Raw genomic sequence first — 17073 nt, forward strand, 5'->3', positions numbered from 1 at the left:
CTTGTGAGTCTACAGACTATGAAAATAACATCTAAATCACTTCATTTAAAAAATATTCAGTTGTATCTTTTCATACAACAACAAACTCTTCTTGATTCCACTCTCCTTTTAACTTTAACAAAACATAAAATCACAGCTCATCTGGAAAGTATGTCATCAGAAAGGATGCAACGCATATGCCCAAGGTTCAGGACTGCCTTTGCCAATGACAGTGACAAATGAAGTGAATACTGCATGAGCGTCACACTGTTGGGGGAGGCAAAGGAGATGCCAGCCTGTACCTACTATTCCACTGAAGAAAGACCATAAACACAAGGATATAGATTTAGTGATCAAAGTTTCAAACATTGCTCAGTGGAAGGCCTGGAAAACCATGTGGGGCTTACCACATGGAAAAAAGATAGTAGCTGCAACTCATACATGTTTACTTGCTGCTTTCCACACTGTAGTCAGTCAGCAAATATTTATGGAAATGAATGAACATATGAAAACTATAGCCATCACAGAGGTGTACTATAAACCAATGCCATGTTTTTGTAAAGGCCGGAATGAAAGAACCACCTGGAATCCGACTCATGGTGCTAATACTGAACTCATTTGGCACAAGTTATTTAGATTCAAAAAGGCCACCCCAAGAGCACTCTCTTTCAGTTTGAGCAGAACTCCTGAAAATCATACTAGCTACCTTTCATTGTGTTCTTATTATGAGCAGGATATTGGGATAAAGAACACTGGTTTCTCTCATTTAATTCCAACAGCAGTCTGGTGGCTCAGGAGCTATTAGGATTTTTTTTGTATCGATAAGGAGACTGAGGGTCAAAGAGGTGACGTCACTTGCCCAGGGTCATAGCACCAGGAAGCAGGAGAGTTAGGCTTTACATACAGCATGGCTGGTCACTCTGGCTCATGACTTTAATGCCAGAATTTTGGGAGGCAGAGGTGGGAGGATCACTTGAACCCAGGAGTTTGAGACTGGCCTGGGCAACATGACAAGACCCCATCTCTACAAAAAAAAAAAAAAAAAAGAAAAATTAGCTGGGCATGGTGATGCACAGCTGTTGTTCCAACTGCTTGGGCAACTGAGTTAGGAGCATTGATTGAGCCTAGGGGTTTGGGGTTAGTGAGCTATGACTGTGCTACTGCACTCCAGCCTGGTTGACAGGGCAAGACACACACACACCGCCCCCCTCCCCACACACACACCCCAACCACTTTAATCCTTAAGCTACACTGGAAAAATGGCCTGGTTAAGACAACCAGTTGCTCACCTCTACTTACCCATGGCAACAACAGAAAGCAAGGACCTCAGGAAATGTCTCTTAAGACTTTTAGAGTTGCCTGATTCCTCAGTCTCCCACGAAGAGAGTAGCTACGCAATGTTAATAGCTCTGACTTTAATGCCTTTTCTCACAACACCTTTAGTGCCTGTGAAGAAAGACACTATAAAAAGCAAACATACAATCCCATAAATAAAGGGCCACATTTCCCCTTGACTGAAGCTACCCTACTTTTCTCTTGGACATTTTTCAGGGTTTATTAACTCGTTGAGGCCTGCCAGATGCCACATAGTAGATTACTATTTCCATTGATGGGTGAATGCTCTTTACACGGTCAAGAAGGGAAGGCTGCAGGTTGTAAATTTTGGCCCCCTGGCAATTCACCAAGGAAAAATCTCTTGAATGCTCAATCTGCAGGGCATCTCAAAGATTATTCTGTCCATCTATTTATTTTACAAATTCAAGACTAGAGAAAAGGAGAGATGTTGTGCCCAAGGTCACACAGCAGGGAAGGAGAAAATGCAGGCTGAAGAATCTTCTGTCCCTAGCACAGAATGCTATTTGGCTCCCGTCGCAATGGGGGCCTGGGGCTAGGTTATGGTGTTGTTCAAAAACCACAGCTAACCACACACTCTGATTCTTTCTCACCCCTAAGCAAGAGTGTAACAACCTCTTGTTCCAAAGCACCAGCAAAGAGCAAATTCCAAGGGGTGCTTGGGTGCTGCCAACACAGGAAATGGCAGCTGGGGTGGTGGGGAGGGTGCTTGTCTTCATTTTGCTTTAAAATGTTGCAAAGGTTTGAGAGTCAGACAGGCCTGGGCTGGAATCCTACCCTACCTGTCATTTTACCAAGGTGCCACTAGGGGCAAGTGACTTCATCTCTCAGCTCAGATTTGTTCTCTGTAAGATGGGAGAATAGTAGTAACTGTACCCAATATCACTGTGTTACAATTAAATGAGACAATGCATGCAAAGCTCTTTGTGTTTCAGCCAGACAGCATACAAATGGTACATTTTTTTTGCATCATTACTACTATTATTTCTATTCAGTGGACCCTTTTAGAATATCTCTTAACACGAAGTTTAAAAGGTGAGTTTAAAAAAATTTTGTTAACTAATGGAGTCTAACATTCTAACAGAGGCATTGATAGGTAAAGGTGGGACTTTGGCAAGATCTCATCCCTGTGAATGGGCAAAGTGCTTTTCTTTCCAAAGTTCCCAGAGAAATCAATCCACAGAGCAGTTATATACGTTGAAGATTCCTTCTGTAGTGCCCTTTTCTCTCTTAGAGACTATTACTTACCAGTATTGTCTCTTCTCACCAGAGTAAGGAGAGGAAAGATGCTGTATCTGAATGCCACATCCCTTTTCTACTCCATCATTCCCTGCTTACACTTAGGTTTTCTCAAGAACTCCTGCGTTTCTCCCTTGTCTTTTGTTATGCCATTTCTTTAAATGTCCTGAGCCACAGAAGCAGCGTCAATGATAACCATTACAGAATCCACAGTCACTCACTTCCCTGCCACGCCCTGCTCTGCTGTGAGAGTTGTCACAGTCCTTTGTCAAAAAACACATCTCCTTATTGGCAATGAACTCACTCAGGGGAGGTTTTACAGGCTTCTCACAAAACAAGAATGGCTCTGAACAGTGGCAGCGACAACCAAAATATTGAGGAAAAATGGAGAGAAAGCTTTACCAGGAAACAAGGGCTGTGACTTCAGGGCGTAAAGCCAGTGTTGACAAGGCCTGCCTGATGGCTGTTTATGTCTGGGACCACCCTGGCACTTATTACCATGAAAAGGAGCTGAGAGCGCCTGAGATTGGCAGGGAACACCAAGGAAGAAAGCGGATGTGGGAGTCACGGTCATCCCAGCCGGATGGGGCATTAGGCCATCCTCCCATCCCCACTGCCCCCCAACACTCCAGCCTTTGCAACGCTACAAAGGTCTAAGAAAAGGAACCAAGATTCACATGTCAACTCTTGGAGCACAGTCGAAGGCTGCTGTCAATATGAGAACCAAGTAGGTGGCCCTGCATATGCTTAGTAAGGGAGATGGCAGGGCCAGGCAAATAAAGGGAGACAACGAGGGGCTCACATCTTCCACTCCCACCCCAACGCCCCCAGGAATATGGGGGACAGGGCGCTCCAGTTCCCCAACCTTCGATCTCACAATGTAACAACTTCATATTAGAGGGGAAAATAAATTTTAACATTAAATATAGCAGTATATGAAATCAGTTATGCAAGCTATGAAACCCAAATTAGGGCTCTTTTTGTTCTCCAAGAGTGGAAATATTTTACCGTTGTCTTTCCCATCAAGAAAGAAACAAAAACCAAGGAAATCTGCAAATGTAGCACCTGGTGAATTCTATCGTGGCTATATCCAGGAGTACCCTGGGGAACTGATGACAATAATCACCAGGCAGTGTTACCCCTCATGTGGGTAACAGGGCTCTATTAGCCTGTTGATTCCTTATTCCCAAACACATTGCCTGTTTTTGTAGGACTTCTTTTCCCTTTCAAGGTTTACCGGGTGATTATTTGTAACCTGACATCAGCAGAATAATGATGTTCACATTTTTCAAGAAAGAGGCGAAGATAATACAAGGACCCACTCTATGCCTGCCATGGGATTATTTATGAAAGCCGTCTGGAAGACAGGGAGGGCGGTGGGTGAGAAATTTGTTCCAGAGGTGAGTGAAGTTGTGTCTGAGTAAGTAATTGGTGGGAAAGCTATGACTGGTAGGAACAGTGACCAAAGTTTCTTGGTACTCTCAAGGTGGACTGTGATTGAAGGCCTGGACTGGAGAGTTCAAGGCTACCTGGAGATGTCAGTCTGCTAGGAGATGACAGTGCTGGGGCAGACCCACTTGACATGACTTATGCTACTGTCAAAAGCAGTCAGGGGACAGAGCTGGAAAGCTTCAGCCACCTTCTGAAATGCTTCTGTAGAGAAGTGATCCATGTACCTAACCAATATCTGCCCCTTGGATCTTGTTCTCTTCCCAAAGAACTATCTATGTGTCAACAAGTCATTTAAAAGACACCAGGACACAGTTAATTCAGTTGCTTCCTCCAGTCTTACTTTCTCTGCCTGTCTGGCCCTTCTTCTGTAAGCTCATTGTGAAAGGAGCATCTTTACAGGCCAGCATGTCAGGTAGACTATCCTGAAAATTTTATAACATTTTCGGGAAGCAGCTTATGTAATTAATTTACTTGTGGGTGGATATTAATGCCAACTCCAGAACTAAGATTTGCATACGTGTCTGAGCCTGTATCCAGAGAAATGTATCTCAGCAGCAGGGATAAAGGTCATTTTAACCATTATCAAATTAGATGCTCATCCTCCAATTTAGCATTGCTCTATCGGGAGGTTGGACAGCACACAGTCACTCTCAATATGCATTATTCAAGTCCTTTGTGGCTTTTCTTGTCTCCTCTTCCTGCCTTCCTTTGGTTAAAAAAAAAAAAAGGCTCAAAAGTACCACTATGAAAGGACGGGATGAGCAGTAATAACCAGATAAAATGTAAATGGCTCACAACACAGAAGACTTGGCATTGAAAAAGGCTAAAATTACATTTGATGGTTTTCTGCAAATTCAAATGATTCCTACACTACTCTGAGATGTATTCAGATGGAAATCAAAAGATTGAGGCAGAAGGGTGTAGTGGCTATGAATACGGTGTTAGGACAGTCAGACCTGGTCTGACTGGAAATATCTTTCTTTGTTATTTTTGGCAGGATGCTTAACCACTGCAAACATCTATATTCAATTCTGTTTAACAGAGATATGAAGTGATGACGCCTACACATCTCAAACTTAACATGTTCAAAACAGAAGTCCTGCTCTTCCTCCACAAATCTGTTCTTCCTGTAGGCTTCCCCATTTTAATCGGTGGCAACTCCATCCTTTCACTTGTCCAGTCCATAAAACGGGAGTCATTGTGACCCCTTTCTGACTCTTGCACCCCATAGTCAACTCTCAGCTAATCCTTTGGCACTATCTCAAAAATTCTTCCAAATCCTACCACTCCTTACCACTTCCCTTGTGACCACTGTCATCTGAGCAATGCTTTCTCTCATCTGAGTTACTACAATGGTCTTACCACTTCCATGTGTGTTCCTCCTGTACCCTCTGCTAAATCCAGAAGCCAGAGTCAACCTTTAAAAACAAATTCATGTTCCTGCTTAGTGCCTCCACCCACGTTTTCACTGCCAGTCCCTTCCTATCTCAAAGTGAAAACAAAAACTCCGTCCAATAGGCTAACCCTCCTTCCTCTACTTGCCCAACAGTCTGCCTCCATGTTCGTCTCCCTCAGTTTCATCTGTAATTTCCTATCCTATCATTCACATCCTCTGTTCTAGCCACATTAGTCTCTTTGGTATCACTAAGAGATGCCTGGTGTACTCCCGCTTTCAGGCCTTAACCTGTAATACTCTTCTCCCAGATACTTACATGGCTTCCTTTTGTATTTTCCCCTATGTTTGCTCAAATGTCACTTTCTTAATGGAGACTTCCCTAAACCTCCTTTTAATTAATTTAATTAAGCTCTAATTTAATTTAATCTAATTCTCACCTACTCTTCTACGCTATCTCCTATCCTTCTTCCCTAATTTATTTTTATCTATGGCAACTGCCGTCTTCTTTCATAATATATATTTGACTTTTTTGTTTTGTTTGTGATTCGTAGCTTGTCTCCACTCTCCACTAGAAGGTAAGCGTAATGAGTTCAAAGGTTTTTGTGTGTTTTTTTTCACTCCTATATCCAAAATGCCTAGAATGGTACCTGGTTTATAAAAAACACTCAAACATTTATGGAATGTCCAAATGAATGCATGAAACAAGTGAATAAATAATATCCAATAGAACCTAGAACCACTTATCTCACAAGAATAAAGATTAAGTAAACATTCTGCACAATGCTCAGTTTATTGTTAGAACCAAATAAATAACAATTGCTGTCTCCTGTCTCTTATATCCATTCAGTCCAAAACTAGCCACATATTCTTGTGGTTTAATATTTAACTCATATCTACAGAACTAAATGCACAGGCGACATCTAAAGGGAACATTATCTGAGAATATCATATAAAAGAAGCCGACAAGAGGCAGAAGCTAGGAACTCAGAATACTACACTGCCCTGTAAATGCAAGAAACATTGACAGTGCATTCTTAGCCACTGATCCCACCACATACCCTGCGTGTCATATAATGTTGTTTCCTCTCCCTGAAGATGTCATCTTAGAGTGACATTTTTGTCAGATGGGTGCAAAAATGTATGTGTGTGTATATATATATGAAAAACAGAATACAATGAAATGCAATACTCAAGAATGGGTTTTATCCAGGCCAGGTATTTTCTTTCTTTTGGCTGGAAACATCTAAAAGCATAAAACTGAAGATTCACTCTTCTGTTCCAAAACAATGTGTCTCAGTGATCCTGATCAATTTTTTTAATAAGTTTTCTTTCATTTAGAAAAAGCCTTGCTTTCTAAGTATAGGATATCCAGGACTCTAAAACCAATACCGAGCCCAAGATTTTGTAAAGTGAATTTGATAGAATGAAATCATAGCCACCCTCCTGCAAACTCTCTACAGCCAGTCCCCACGAAGTCTAACTCTTATGGAGAGTACTTTTTACCCAAATATGAGGATCAGGCCGTGTCCAGAAAGACCAAATTTTCTTAGCTCAGTAGGACCTTTCCTTACAAATGTACTAATTCTCATCATTTTAGGATGCTGTAAAAGTCCAGGGGGAAACTGATCCATTTCAAAGCTCTGGCCTGAGGTTGCTGGGTGACCCAGTCCAAATTTGAGTTTCTTTGAAAGCCATTCAAAACTAAGTGAAATGTAAAAAAAGATCCTATTCAGAAATGCAAATATTCAGCTATCTCTGACTTGTGATAAGTAAAATAAACAAAATCAGGAATCTGGCTAAAAACCCTTGGGAAACATTCAGATTCCAAGGACCCAGTCCCAGGGACTTTTATAAAGCAAAAGAGGGCTGAACTGGTTTCTATTCAGGCTTGTTTCTTTTATGCATCACAAACCAAAATTCATGTTTCTAGAAGTTTTGAAAGCTCCCCAAGAGAGGCAGTGGAAAAACATGGGGCTTTGGAGTCCATCAGGTCTGGATCCAATAATTACTGACTGTATAATTATTGGGAACCTTTCTTAACTTCCCTAAATCTCAGTTTTCCTGTCCGCACGATAGACATCATAAGACCTATTTTGCAAGGATTATAAGAGGATTGGCAATAATGCACACAAAGGACCTGGTCAAGGCCAGGGCTCACATCAGATGTTTAATAAATGAGGGCCTTTGTTATTATTTTCCACTTCTAGTCAAATCCATTTGGCCAATTGCAAATGGGCACCTATATGTGCCACATCAGGAAATGTAAGACAATTAATTGTCCATCAGTTGGTAACTACTGAAGTGGAGAAGGTCATTCATTCAGAGCAGTGAGCTTTTTGGTGGTGGTGGTGTGTCTTTGTTTAGGGGCAATTTTTCTTTTTAAAAAAATTTTTAATTTCATTTAAAATTTTAATCTATTTATTTATTTATTTAGAGACCAGGTTGTGAGACTGGCTAATTTTTGTATTTTTGGTAGAGATGGGATTTCACCACGTTGCCAAGGCTGGTCTCGAACTCCTGGGCTCAAGCAAACCACCTGCCTTGGGCTTCCCAAAGTGAGTCACCATGCCTGGCCAAGATTTCTCATTTTTTAGGGATTCTTTCCTAGGCAAAACATTTGCATGTGCTCAATTTATAGCCTAGAATTACCGGTAAGATTACAGTTAGGCAAAAGTCAAAATTCAATTTCTAATTTTAAAGGGCTTTTCACATAGCCAATTGGTAATTTAAGGTTCCAATTAATTCTGAAAGACAGCATCCACTTCCCTTATGGAAAACCAAGATCTCTTCCACATTGGGCACCAGTGCATAAGTCTGTTCTTTAATACATATTTCTGTGGTCTTCCATCAAATAAAGTTTGAACATTGCAGGGAAAATCCAATGTTTCATTAGAGTGTAGGTCCCACCATAAAATTTCTGAGGTTGATGACAGTCTCTTGGGTTTATTTTCTTTGCCTTTCCTCTACCAATAGATTTCTTCTCCAGTCTCAAAGCTTTGGAGTCACTACTAGTGTTTATGGCCATTGTTAATGACCTTTTTAAAGGAAAAGAATTGAGATTGATTTTCCTTCTGGGACCAAGACATATCATCTAAAATGTTTTCTGACCCTCTGATCTCAGAGTTGTACCTGCCGTTTTGAGTGTGTTTGTGTGGCATGGGGGTTGGGGTTGGGAAATATATAGCATTTGCCATCTGCTAGAGGAGCAAAGATTTGCAGAGTGGAAAAGAGGAGGTGCGAGGAGGTAGAACTGCAGAAACTTGCTTCCCCAGAAGTTCATGTATAGGAAAGCCAAGTTAATGCCACATATTTGGAAAAGGTGATCCCCTATGTATAGTTTTCTCTGATAGGTTTTTTAAAAACCCAGACAAAGTGGAAATGTCTGACTATGAAAACTTGGTGATCTCTACAATATAAGGATTTCACTTCCCTTTGAGGAGGAAGGGAATGATTTTATAACCTCAGACTTCTCTGACTTAACAAATAGGGACTTAGTATCAAATATGTCTGGTAAATGCTGATGTTCTACCTCTCTAATGCCCATAGGAATATGGAAAGAGAAATTCTGCTGTGAGAAATTCATAGAACTACCTGGCAGAAAAGGAAGGGTGATATTGCCTCCCAGGGAACATTTGGCAACGTCTGAAGATATTTTTCACTGTCACAACCGAGGGGGTATGCTATTGGCATCCAGTAGGTAGAGGTCAAGGATGCTGATAAGCATCTACAATGTCCCAAACAGTCCCTACAACAAAAAATTATCTGGCCCCAAATATGAATAGTGCCAAGGTTGGGAAACCCTTCTTCATACCTATTCACAATCCATGGAACACTTTATGTACTGCTGTCTTAGTCCCTAATCAGAAATTATCAGGTAAAATGCTCACTAGAATTAATCCTACTTCCAGAAGAGTTCTCAAAAGAGAAACCTATATACTCAACTCTGATGCTCAAGTCTGACCAATCCCTAGATACTGCTGACCTATTCATATATTCATATTCTATCACTGATATGGGAAGCTCTGTTTGAAACATAAACTTAAAAAGGAATCTCTATATATGAACTATCAGTGCTATCAGACAATGCTAACATTATGAACATGATGAGGATATAACCCTTGTTTTCTTAGAAATGCCCACCCACATTTATGCTGTTTTTAGTTTATTACTCTTGTCAAAGTTGCCATGCAGAATGTCTGTTGGTCAGTTGGGCACATCTGCACACATTTACAATATCTGCCACCTCTTTTAACCCTCAACCCCGCCCCACAAAATGAGTGATGGTGCTTGTTGATTTGCAGATTCACAGTCTGGTGAGACAAGTTTGAGATCTCATATTTTCAGCTCATCCTTGAAAACCTTTCTTCGATTTGACTGACCTTGATGGCTCCCTGGAATCTCACCTACATTTTATGGGAAATTCAACTCTCCAGAGAGAAGAGCTTTCAGATAGCTGCGGGACTTGCAACTGTGACTTTCAGCTTTCGCTTTTGAATGAGGCTCCAAATGTCTCAATGGTGGCACTATTTCCAGATTTGGGGTAAGCCAATTCTTTGTTGTTGGGGTTGTGCTGTGCATTGTAGACTATTAAGCAGCATTCCTGGCCTCTACCCACTAGATGCCCATAGCACCTGCATCCCCATTGTAACAACCAAAACTGTCTCCAGACATTGCCAAATGTCCACCGCAGGCTAAAATCACCTCCCAATTGAGAACTATTGAATTATACTAAGGTTCTCAGAAAGTCCTTCAGCAAGTTCTCAAAACTGAATTGATTCAAATTGACTTGGTGAGGTCAGGGCACACAGAGATTCTTTGTTGATGGGAGTTGTAAAGGGCCTGCTGAACATCCGCTCAATGAAGTCAGGGGCTCCAGCTAAAAGGGTTAGGAAGCCCCCATCTATAGAAAACGTGCCGTGTACAACGTGAAATCAATTCCCATGCACAACAATGAAGATCCCAATTACAATGAACAAACACGTTCTTCTGAACAGAACTTCCTCCCTGACATTATGTCCATGACCCTGCACCCTGCGGGGGGCTCGGATATGTTACGTCTGATTCAAAGACAACCAAAAAGAAGGAAATAATGATTTCACCAAGAAAGGACACATACCAAGGCAGGAATAGGTAAGTGGGCTAGGTGGGGCTTTTATTAATCTCAAGGAAAACAAACAGCACACATTTTTGGGAAAATGCTTTCATTTTCAAAGGAATCTGGATGTGGACTGGATAGCAGTCGATTAAGAAAAGGCAGAGTCTGCATATGGCCAGATATTTACTGGAATTTACTAGGAAGAGATGCAATAAAAGTCTAGATTCCCCTGGGAAAAGGGAAGCAAAAAAAATGCACCATTCTCAGAGGCCTTTCAGTTTAGCTGCATGGGTGGGATGGGGAGGAGGGAGGAGGAGAGAAGGCTTAGGAAAGAGAAAATCATGGGAAAAGGCCAATAAAAAAGTAGGAAAGATTCTGTTTCTGCTGAGCTCTGCCACACCCCACTCCCTTTTTTATCACATTACAGTGCAAATCTCAGATTAAAAACAGCTTCCTAGAATGTGTCAGAATTTTTAAAGTTGTGAAATAAATCCAGATCTACTCTTTACTTCCTTGTGAAGGAAAAAACACACTCTGAATACATTTGTTTCTTTAAGAAATTTTATAAAGTAACTTATTTTGAAAATTTTCCAACTTATAGAAAGATTGCAAGAACATCATAAAGATCTCCCTTATCCCCTCATCCTGAGTCCCCAATTGCCAACATTTCACCACATTTGCTCCCCCCATCTCTCTCTCTATATGCTATTATTATTTTGTCTTTCCCTGAAAAATTTGAGAGTAATTTAGAGACATAACATCCCATCATCTCTAAAACTCTTTTTTCCTCAAATCAAGGACACTCTTTTATGTAAATACCGTACAACTCTCTAAGTCAGGATATCATCATTATTAATACAACAGCACTAAATAATCCTATGCCTTTCTTTTTAATGATTCCCTTCTACCAGTTAGCTCTTTACTTCCATATTTCTGGGCTAATGTAATAAGGAGTTCAGCACCTGAGTAGCTGAGCTCATTCATTCATTTCAACATTGTTTATAGTATGCCTAGTTTGAGAGAGGCACCCAGTTTGAACTGTGGGTTTCATTAGGCAGAAGGAAATTCAGGTATGGGGCAATTAAATAAATGATTGGGGAAACAGGTTTTTCACTTAAAATGTGTTGGCTCTGTCTATATTTCTTCCTCTGTCCTAGCTAAGAAAAAGGAAGCAAACACAGTCTGCTTTTTCCCTGTTGTATTTCCCTCTGTTCATCTTACCAAGTTCCCAAGCGTAACTGTTTTATTATTCACCTGCCACATGGACTAAGGAATACAGAGGTAGTTGTGAGAATGAGGGGTGATGAGAGGAAGAGGATGCAAGAACAGGGTTCAAGGTGGTTGACTGTCTTACCAATGGGAATGAATAAGACAGCTTTGCTAAAAGAAGAGTTCAGCTCCTATAGCTTAATTTTAGCTCAATAAATAGTTTGGAAGACGTTCCAATGCATTGAATATGCTTTATTTCAACCAGAGAGTTACGGTGAGATCACATTTTAGTAAATTTTACCATTTTTCATAATTCACTTGTAAGTGCTACAGCATCTTACCTTCTGCAAGGAACCTCATCACCATGAACAGATGTAAAGTCACCTGACTGGCTCTAATAAAATCTATCATCCTGACTATCTATATATCTACTAAATAAAGAAAATACCTCAAGTTATTCCATTTCTACTAAAAATGCCAGAGATAGCACCCAATATGTGCTTAATACTGGTTGCTTTTTTCTTAAAATCTTCTGAAAACCCCAAATCTTGCTCTTTTACTTGGTTTGAGACAATTTTCTTATATTCATTCCTGATTTTCTTTGCTTATCCCCTAAGCAAAACTTGTAAATGGCTCAATTAGCTTCAGAACATTTCAAATATTAATAGTTACACTCTGGGATAACATAAAATCCTACATTGTAGACATACCCTTTCCACTCATGTTACATTTTACCATTTCATCAACTAAACAATGAGATGAGGGGATTATATCTTGGCTTAAACCACTAGCTTAAAATTCAGAAAATCCTAAATTCAAATCCTGGTTCAGCCACTTCCCAGCAGTGAGACCTAGAGACCACTACTGAGCAGTGAGATCAACTAAGCAACTTCTCTGATGGTGCTGACTTCATCATGTAGAGAGGATTAAGTTAGACAAACGTGGGTGAATTGTTTAGCATAATTCTGAGCACAAAGTAAATGTTCCAAAATGTAAGTGGTTGTTATAATAAAAAAAAAATCAAAGTCCTCCCTATAATTATGGGAGGAAACACATTGTGTGACAAATTAAGTGGGGAAAAAAATCTGCTCCTTTGTGGATAACTGAAGCTATCAATTCATTCACTGTCTGAGATATTTCAGAAGAAAATGGCTTAGGGAGAATCATTTGAACTATTTCTCATTTTAGTGCATAGTCAACCTGAGAGTGAGCATAGTAGATTAATCAGTGCTTCTAAAAACAGACCATCTGTCAGATTATAATTTAATTCAGGATGTTGCCCTAAACGGGGGGAAAACACTCTATCTGGCCACTGAGGAAGAGAACTGATGGCAATTATCAGTCAATTTGCAGTCAATGTTGTTGCATAAGTTTAAATTTCTTGGGGCCCTCAGTATAGAGTAAAAATGTAAATGAATAAGAGGTTTTTTTCTTTTTGACACTGTAGACATTAAGTTTTGCAAAATTAAATGACTACATTTACAGTCATGGAGGAGAGACATTGCCTCAACTCGGTTTCTTCTGATGTGTCTTTGAAACAGAGCCCTGCAAAGCTAATCTGCTCAACCTTCACCTACTGGGTTCAATGAATATGAAAAGCTGCCTTCCTGAAACTTTTCCTTCAAAGAGGGAATGATCTCCTGGAATTCAAGCTTCTACAAGGTGGCTACCTGGTGTTTTCCACTTTTGCCGTCTCCTAAAAAGCATCATTCAAGCCTTGCCCTTTCAACCCACTGAACACATAAACATGCTTTCTCCTTAACTGAACTTATGGCCACGATGAACTTGAACTCTGAGATTCACAGAGGAGAGTTTGTTTTAACAGCTGCTTTTACAATGAAGCCCTGGAGTTACTACTCTCAAGACCCCTGGTTCTGATAGGCCATCTTTTCACTGTCCTCTGCATTTTCTAATGCCCAGCTGTCAAGGAACACCCACTGAAGTTTTCCAAAACAAAGGCACGAAACACAAGAAAGGCAAGAGAATGCTAATCACCAGATGCATGGGCATCCTATGGGGGAACCCCTTACATGTGGAATACGGTTTTTCTCCCCAATTTATTTTTATAAATTTATTGATTTCTTTGCTAGTTTGTTATTAATTGTTAGAGATGTCCTGTTGCCTGAGGTTGCCCTGTCCGATATGGTAGCCACCAGCGACAGGTAGCTATTTAGAGTAATTTAAAAATTACATTAAAAATGCAGTTTCCTTGTCACTTAACCATGTTTCAAGTGCTCAGTATTAACCACATGTGACTAGTGGCTTCCATAAAGGAAGGCAAAAATAGAGAACATTTACATCGCTGCAGAAAGCTACTAGATTTTTTTGGCCAAGGCATAAGCTCTTTCTCATAAGAGAAAGGGGATGCAGATCTTGCTAAGAGTGATGGATTTCTGGGTTCAGCCTACATGAGTCATCTTCCATACTACCCCTGGACATGCTTTCCTTGGCTGCCAATTTTCTATTTTATAAATTTCAGGAAAGAGAGATTATGGTTGTTAAAACCATTCATGACAATGATCCCACTTTAGAGAAAACAACAGCAACAAGCAAAGAAGATGGTGTGGAGATCCGCACATTCCACATCTTTTAATTGGTACCCATTAAATAACAAAGGGAAAAAGTACCCTCAGACCACAACTCTCCACCTTGTGTGGAGGCCAAGGACCCAGCAGGGAGAAGGCAGAAGATTAGGTTCTCCACTCATCCTGGCTCTCAGACCACTGAACTCACATTTGGGTTCTAATGGAATGGTGATTGGAAGCATATTCTCCAATAGGAGGTTTTTAAAAGTTCTGTGCCATCAGCCAGGCAGCATCTGTCATTTAAAATGACTGGCCAGTTGCACGTTTAAAAGCAAAGATAAAATTGCTAATTTATACTTACTGAATAAACATCAGCAGTATCCATGAAGGTACCTACCCTAATAGCAAGTTGTATTTTTATTTTTATGGTGGTGGCGAAGCTGCCAGGAAAACCAAAGCATCAGTTCTTTAATTACATTTGTTTAGTATTGATTTAATACTAAAATTTCTCTTGCTCCCTTAGAACAAAGAGCTCTAACTTGTACACTGCTGTATCCTTAGCACCTGGAACAGTCCCTGGCCTACAATAGGCACTTAGAAAGTATTTGTTAAAAATTGATTTTTTTTTTTTAAAGAAACAACCCAGAGTTTTTTTATTCTGCCCCAACCCCCAACCCCTGGCATTAAAATAAATCTTCCTCAACTGCCATCACTAATCGCCAGGATTCCCTCCTAGCCAATTATGCTTGGACTCAACCTCTACCTCCCACTCCACATTCCAAAGTTTCTATTTCTTTCCATTCCAGAAGGGCAACTCCACAACAGGAGTGAGGGAGAGGACCTGGACTCCTCCTCAGAGTCCAATAACACTCCTAACCCTGCTCCCCCAACCTGTGGACTTTTTAAATCCATGAAAATAGAACCTGTCAAGCTACCACAAAATAGCATCAGAAGGCAGGATCAGTCTTTCATAGGCATACAATCTCTGTAAATACTGAAAAAAGATTATTAAAAGCCTGCTAAGTTTTGTCTCCAGTGAAATAGATGCAGGCAAGTATTTTGATTGTTCTGAACACATTAGAGATGAGTGCTACACAGAACTAAGGTAAACTTTGTAAATTCGTATGTCATAACACTTTGTTCCACAAAAAACTATCTTATTTTTTATACTCCATACTGATACAGCCAAATAATGTGGCTCTTATTTTCTAAAGATGCCAGCAATATGTTTAAACATGTCTTCATTGTAGTAAAAGTATCATATTTATAAAAAATACATATGCATTTAATGTGATATTCCTTATAGTCAAAATCTTGATATCATCCTGTTAATCTGGCTAAAAATGTATCTGTAAAATGAAAGAGAGGAATATTTTGCCATTCCCTAAACAACAGTTGTTTGAAGCTTTTGTAATTGCTGGTTATGGGAATTTACCAATAACAGGAATGAATTTGGATTTTCTTTTGCTGGAATCAAATGGACAATGTCATAATTAGCTAAATAATGTTGAGGCTAAATGAAGTTTGAGTTTTAGGCACATCCTTTATGGAATATAAACAGGAACCTAAAAGTTCATTCTGAACATAGGTTGTTTCTTTCTGCCAAAACAAGATTAATAGTCAGTACCCTAACGACAAGGTCCTATCACTGAAGTAGATTATCGGCTAGTCAAATGGGTTCCTAACAGCACCTCCCTCATGGGTTAAAACAAGAGGGTTAATGTGATGTGTATTTGCTTAATTTGGCTTGTTATACAGTAAACACACAGCAAACGTTAGCTATTGTTATCTTCATTTCCTTTGGAGAAGTTATCTTATTTCTCACCTTATTAAAAATAAACCCTAACTCATACAGGGACCCTCCTTACCTTGGTCCTTTCACCCATGAATACCATAATAACCTATACTGCAAAAAGGAGGCTCAGGAGGAGGATGAGGTATCAATAGGCCTCCGGGTCATTTTTATGATTTAGGTATTTTTTGAAAAGGGTAGGCTCTCTTGAAACTTCCAAGGTAGTTGTTGTAGTATTTTATTTTCCTTTCATAAGAAATGCTTTCTGAAATGTATTGCAGTGAACAAATAACAAAATTGACAAATGCTGTAAGCCTTTTACAGTTATCTGAACACACAGAATAAAGTGTAATCAAATTTGTGCACATTAGGTTTGCTTTTTCCTGTACCTAGCTGTCTCTTATGTGTTCAGAACCATTTCTTCCAATCACCTTTTTTTGTCTTCTGGCTATAATTTATCATTATCTACAAATTCAATAAATGGAGCATGCATATTTCATAGTTGAGATTCAATAATTCAGGACAACAGTACTAGAAAAGAAAAAATACCCAACAAAATATTAAGCCTCATATATTTTTGTTTATAAATCTAAGCATCATTTCCAACTCAGAAATATGTTTTTAAAGTATCCCTTTAAAATACATACTTGAAGCTGTCTAATTACACAAAGCTAGATACTTGGCTACTCAGATTTGAGGGAGGGGTTGTACAGGTTGGAGGGAATTTACAAAATTAAAATGTATCTTTTTAAAACCAAAAGAAACATATACATTCATTTCTAATCCACAGAGCCTACTTGCCTTTACAGTCTGCTGATAAACACTGATTTTTTAAACATTGTATATAAAATTAAATAACATGAAAAAATAAATATGCTTTATTATATAACACATAGAAATCTGTACTGCTCAAAATATTCAGAAAATTCTAGGTGTGGCTGCTTAAAACTGTGTTTAGAAAATATGGTAGTGATATTTACAATCTTTATTTCTTCTAGGGAGAGAAGCAGTGAGGTTATAAAATACTGGTATC

General features: G+C 39.5%; 1 protein-coding gene and 1 long non-coding RNA gene across 7 annotated transcripts in view; one reads left to right on the top strand and one right to left on the bottom strand.

The window, feature by feature from the left end:
- The window catches only part of ADAMTS9-AS1 (ADAMTS9 antisense RNA 1), a 28739-nt gene extending 12207 nt beyond the window's left edge, over positions 1-16532 (top strand). The window contains exons 2-3 of one of the 2 annotated variants that reach the window (NR_110150.1): positions 9721-9959; positions 13265-16532. This is a non-coding gene — a long non-coding RNA (ADAMTS9 antisense RNA 1). The remainder of the gene's footprint in view (positions 1-9720; positions 9960-13264) is intronic. The other variant, NR_110151.1, reaches the window with a different exon arrangement.
- ADAMTS9 (ADAM metallopeptidase with thrombospondin type 1 motif 9) overlaps positions 1-17073 on the bottom strand; it is a 172347-nt gene that overhangs the window by 57899 nt on the left and 97375 nt on the right. The window lies entirely within an intron of this gene.

This window comes from Homo sapiens, chromosome 3, assembly GCF_000001405.40.
Source record: "Homo sapiens chromosome 3, GRCh38.p14 Primary Assembly".
Classification (NCBI taxonomy): domain Eukaryota; kingdom Metazoa; phylum Chordata; class Mammalia; order Primates; family Hominidae; genus Homo; species Homo sapiens.